The 6,321-nt window shown below is 45.4% G+C and overlaps 1 pseudogene; it reads left to right on the top strand.

The window, feature by feature from the left end:
• Positions 3,978–5,978, top strand: SALL4P5 (spalt like transcription factor 4 pseudogene 5; annotated as a pseudogene).
• Positions 5,979–6,321: the final 343 nt, after the last annotated feature.

The following is a 6,321-nucleotide window of genomic DNA, read 5'->3' on the forward strand; positions in this document are numbered from 1 at the left end:
CCTGCCAATAGGTAGCATAGACTTGCCAGCCCATGTAAATGAGCCACTTGCAGTAGAGCCTTAACTCCTCAAGCCACCCCGCCTGATGCCATATGAAGTAAAAATGAGCTTTCCCCACTGGGCTTTTGCAAAATCACTAGCAAATAAGATATAGTTGTTGTGTTAAGCCACTGAGTGTTGAGGTGGTTTGTTATGCAGCAAGAAATAGTTGAAACAGTAACCATATTCAAATATATTAAAAGCTATCATATGCATGGTCCCATGGGTTATAATTATAACCAATATGCAGAATTAATACTGATATCCATAACTTGAAACGTTTCACTGAGAAGCAGGTTGGAACCTTAAAGATAAGACCCGACAGAGAAGAAAGTGCCAAAGTTGTAGAGCTCATTTGGCATTAGAACTCGCCTCAAGGAAGTAAGCTCAGGTTCATTTTCAGATGACATCAGTTCCCAAGGGTTTCATCTGCTGGGCATTGTAGTGCCGGGGGAAGACCATTCAGGTTGAATAAGATCCTATCGATCCAATGTCTGGAGAGAGCAGATCAGCATAAGGCTAGAAGGCTTTCAAGACCCCAGTTAAGATGAGATTCAGAATGGATATCAATCCAAGAGGGATCCTGGAGTAACCACCCAAAACCAGAGAAAGCAAAGGTACAAGGATTATGCACCCAGAGTGTGGGTTTAAATGGTATAGTTTGGAATGAGGGCACACCTTAGACCTACCACACATCAGATATGTCAGATATGGTCTTGATTCTGTGATCTGATGGGAATGCAAATCCTAAGGTGCCATCAAGTTAGTTTAGGATTGGCTCAGAAACCAGCCAATTGAAGAACTGGCTAGGAAACTAGAGTGGGCAAGTAGGCAATGGGTGCCTCTTCAGTATCTTTGGCTGGGGGGCTAAGATAAGAGTCTTCTGAGAGGAGCTAGAGGAAAGCAGGTTTTAGTTTAACACAAGGAAGAACTTTCTTAGAGGGGGTGTATTCCTATGATTGCAAAAAACTGAATTATCACCTGCCAGGAGATCTACAGAGAAGATGCATACATCTAATAAGAATGATATCAAATAACTTTTTAATGCCCTTCCAACCCGAGATTTCCTAACACATACATAATGTGAGGGCAAACTGCTTGCACAGAGCACATAGGTGCTCAACAAGGAGTGGATGGATAGACAGAGAGATGGACAGACAACTGGATGGGTAAACTTAAGGATGAATAATGCAGTCTGACATTTTCAAATACTCAGCACCTCCCATCCACAGACACATTAGCCACAGGAAATAAACTGGACCTCAGAAAAAAAGAAATTAAAATGTATTTGTACCTCTAAGAGTCTTCCAAACACTTAGTATCTTGGAGTACCCAAATATATGCTGCATTTTTATGCTTATGAAAGCAATTTCTTAAGAAAATTAGAATTTCATGTGAAAATGTCTTAGTTTGTTCTGACTGGTTGACTCTGAGCAAGGGTCACTGTGGACCTGTATTCACTGGAATTTGGTACATTCAGCACAGCTCAGCTTTAACAGTCAGGAACCCAAGCTCCAGGTACAAAAGACAGCCTTGAGCAACAGAGAAGCAGTGACCAGCCAGGGTCCACGTGTTCTATTATCTCTTCTCCCAGCAGATTTCTCATGCCACATTGTGCTTTATATGCCTTGTACCTATTTTTTAACCTTTGCTCTTGTCACACACTCCCTGGTATGAGACATTTCTGCAGGTCTCTGATGTAGAGTATATACTCTCCTCTAAATAACATGGCCAAGGTTTTAGGCAAATAAATGTCTAACACCTTCATACACAAAGAATATCTTGTTCTTTAAGACAGAGGGTAAAGCTCTATGTTCTAGGGAGTGGTTAACAAATTATTTGAACCACAATCCACACTCAAAAAACATTTTACAACCTAACACAGAGGATACATATAAAATAATATTTACCTCACAATGTGCCATGCATTCCAATATTTTCTATTTCATTTTTCAAGCTGCCAGTGAGAACCCACTAATATGAATTTATGACACACAATACATGGGACTAATGGTCTAAAAGGCACAGCTTAAGGGACAATTATCAAGTAGTATTTACAGGGAGTGTAGCAGTGAACCAAGTGCCCCCAAACTATGCTAACATTAGAAAGTTCTGAGCCCTCAAAACCTATAAATAATGTTGCCATTTTCTAAGAATGAAGCTAATAAGAGTTAATACATAATGGATGAGATTAGCTAAATGTAGAAATTAATTCAAGAAAAATGTGGGCTGCAGGGATTTGAAAATACTCTCAAGTCCAATCAAGGCATCCAGGATGAACAGTGTGACAGTAGTCTTACTAGATTATAATTCTAACATGAGAATTTTATATTAAAATAGACAGTTTTATTTTGCCTTGCCTGAATAAATCCTGTTAGTAGTAGGAACTGAATGCATTGGGGTGGGCTGACTTCCTTGTAAGCGGGAAGTCAAAAGACAAGGATTTTTTAGTAGGTTCCTCCATCCAGGGAAAAGACTACTGCAGCCCCTAAATGCAAATATCCAGTCAGCTTGGCAGCTGGGGGCCAGGAGGAAGGTGGAGCCTCCAATTCTCATGGCTCAACGACACTTGCTCTCTCTCTCTTCATCGAGATCTACTAAACAATTTTTGATTTAAACACTGGTTTCCCACTCATGTTTTCCTAAAGAGGTAGGAACACACTAATCAGCTAATAGAAATTTCTTATCTGCTTGCCAGTTATACTTTTCATTGTCAATGAACAGACTGAGATCTCGATTAATATACATCAGTCTTGTGGGTTTGGTTACATGATCATTTCTACACTGAATGAAATGTCAAGGTTGTGGAAAGCAAAGAACCCAGCCTAGAATAGGGCAGCACTTCTAGGATGATGGCACTCAAGAGAGCCTGCCTGGGCATCCTGCCAGCCTGTCTCAAAGCAATCCCTCTTGCAACTCTATCACTTGACCCATAACAAGTTATTCAGAGGTTAATAAATGACAAACCAAATAAAAATATATTGGTTTCAAAGAGAAAAGCATTGACTTAGCATTTCTTCCAGCCAGCTAGAGTGAAGGAATATTATTGAAACCCAGTCAACTTTGCTTTCACACACCAGAGTTGGCTATGGTCTAATCTTTCACAGACTGGGGTTAATGTTTTCAGTTTTTTGTTTGGTTGGCTGCTTTGTTTTTGAGATAAGGTCTTGCTCTGTCACCCAGGCTGAAGTGCAGTAGGACAATCACTGCTCACTATAGCCTTGACCTCCCAGGCTCAAGCAATCTTCCCATCCAGCTCTCAAGTAGCTGGAACTTCAGGTGGGTGCCACCACGCCCAGCTATTTTCTTTATTTTTTGTAGAGACATGTTATTTTTTTGTAGAGATATGTTGCAGGGGCAGGTTTTGAACTCCTGGGCTCAAATGGCTCTCTAGGCTTGTGGAAGTGCTGGGATTACAGGTTTTGAGTCACTGCAGCCAGCAGGTTAATAAAACAATTTGTGTCACAGAGTCTGATGGCCGTATCACAATTTAATATTTCCAGTCACCTACTGGGTCTGGATTTTCATTGCTTCTCAACGCCATTCATTGATGCCACACATATTTCATGAGCACCCAGATTCAGTAGTCACAAAACAGAAAAGAGCTCTATCCTCAAGGAGTTCAAAGTCTGGAACAGAAGGATGAATTGTTATAAATCAGTGTAAGAAATGGTGTTATATTCAATATAAAGTCGTGGCATCAAGTAGGATGGACTCAACTCGAAGAAGGGAGATGAAAGATTTCACAGGGAAGATATTTCAGGTGGGTTATGGGGGAAATAAAAGTTTACGAAGCAGACCAGCCAAGAGCAATCATTGCGGAAAGAGAGCACGCGGGGGAGTTAGGCTGTATGAGGAGTTTGGACTGGAATGGTCATGGTAACTACCATGAGTTTAAAAGGGACACTTTTGTTATTGAAGATTTGGTGTCTTTTCAAGAAGAGATATTTCCCAACTCCAGGAATTTCTGCCGTAGAGGGCAAATATCTGTGGCTCTCCTGGCACCCCAATGCTCGCACCATGTTGAGGTGCAAGCAGGGGATAGCCCAGCACATCATCTCCGAGGAGGACGAGGGCGAGCAGCAGCCGCAGTGGCCAATCCCCAAGTTCGCAGACCCGGCCCCAGCGGCGCCGGCAGGAAAGCCGTGTGTCCCAGGGAATGAAGATGGAAGGAGTGAGGACGAAGGCCCTGTAAATCAGCTTCGAGGGGAGGAGACGCATGTCTATGAGAAACGCTGTGTGGAGTTCTTTGGCATCTCTGAATTCTTGGAACATAAGAAAAATTGCACTAAAAATCCACGTGTCCTCATCATGAATGACAGACAATGAGGGCCCGGTGCCTTCAGAAGACTTCCTCGAGTCTGTACTGAGCCACCAGCCACCCAGTCCAAGCAGGAAGTACGGCCACAGGGAGAATGGTGGCAGCCCAGGGCACATGAAGGAAAAGTCGGGTACTTAAAGACAGGCACCCCAGGACATAAGCTATACACCCAAAGGTAAAGTGGCCAACACTAAGGTGCCCCTGTGGGGACTGCAGGGTGGTGAGTCCACGGAGCCCGAGTGCCTGGCGCCAACAGGATCCCGTGGGTGCTCAAGCAGATCCTGTGCCTGCAGCAGCAGCTACGGCAGATCCAGCTCACCCAGCAGATCCGCGCCCAGGCGCACTGGTGGGCCTCGCACGCCCTCCACTAGCCGGACGGGGCCCCGCAACCCTGAAGACCTTGGGCGGCCACGTGTCCCACAGGTTTCAGCAGCAGTGGCTTTGCTCAGCGGGAAAGCTGGGAGCCAAGGTCTGTCTCTGGACGCTTTGAAACAGGCCAAGCTACCTCACACCGACATCCCTTCTGCTGCCAGCTGTCTGTCCCCAGGGCTGACGCCCCTCATCCCACTCTGCAGCCGGATGGGAGAGGGCACTCCTGAACATCAGTCTCACCTCCCCAGCGCTGTGCGTCCTCGGGTCTGGGCCGGGTACTCTGCCAGCGGCCTTTCTCCGCAGTGGCATTAGACTACCCGGGAACGGGAAGGGGAAGCCGCCGGACATCTCCGAGGGAGGGCGGATGGGCAAACCCGAAGACGAGGCAGTCCTCGACAAGCATCATAAGTGTGGGACCAGGCGCTCTTCCACATTTATCCAAGCCCAGCCAACCCAGCTGACAAAGTCTGGGTTCTGGCACGTCAGTTGGACCATCAGCACCATCCCCAAGCAAGCCCTTTGTTAGTGCAGCCCTGCTGGGAGGCCCAGCCTATGGGAGTGTGGGAGGAACGCACCGCTAGCGCTCCTCAGATTCACGAGCAGGTGCACACTGCAAGAAGCCTGTTGTATGCAGCATTTATGGGCGAGCCTTTACCACCAAAGGCACCTTGAAGGTCCACTGTATGACACACGGGCGAACAGTCACTTGGCCTGCCATGGGAGGAAGCCATGGAGAATACCATGGCTCTAATAGGTCCAAAGAGAAAAAGAGTATCGGAAATGTTTCCCCAGGAAATCCTGGCCCCTTAGGTGAGCGTGTACCTGCTGTGTGGAACCAGTACACCAGCATGCTCAACGGTGCTCTGGCCACAAAGACCAGTGAGACCTCTGTGGTCCAGAGTGGCCATGTTCCACTCTCCCGGTTTTCCCTGGGGGGCCAGCTCAGTCGTGAATAAGGCCACCATCTCCAAGAGGGATGGCTCCCAACGAGGCATCAGTGCTGACGTGGAAGAACCAGGTGCTACTGACCCATCCCAAACACCGGTGTCCTCACTTCCTGGAAGAAAACAAGACTGTGGTCAGCTAAGGCATAGGAGAACTTGCATGGAAGGAGAAATGCAGAGTGAAATCTCTAGAATCTGCTTTAAAAAAAAAAAAAAAAAAAACTCCTCCTGTTTTATTGTTCTCATTGATAGGCAAATGTTTGCAAAGGTTGTGACTACAACCTCAGGCAAGTCCTGCAATCACAACTGTTGCTATGCTGCTTTACAAAAAAAATAAAAATAAAAAAACAAATCACCCCCAAACACAGACTAGATTTTTTTTTTAATTTTGGAAAAAAGCAGGTCTTGCAAAGTAGCTTTATTACTTGTGACAAACTGTATACAGAGAACCTTTGTACAACCCAGAGTGACTTTTCCACAAACTGTTACCTACTTCAAGGTAGAACTGCTGAAACTTACTGAACAACAATGGAAAAGACAACTACTTAGCCTAGTTGAAGGAAAGGACGCTATATACTTCCATGGTAACTGAATGTGGGTAAAAGGACAAAGTCTGTCATCTATTCAGGAACCTGTTTTATATGC

This window comes from Homo sapiens, chromosome 3, assembly GCF_000001405.40.
Source record: "Homo sapiens chromosome 3, GRCh38.p14 Primary Assembly".
NCBI lineage: Eukaryota > Metazoa > Chordata > Mammalia > Primates > Hominidae > Homo > Homo sapiens.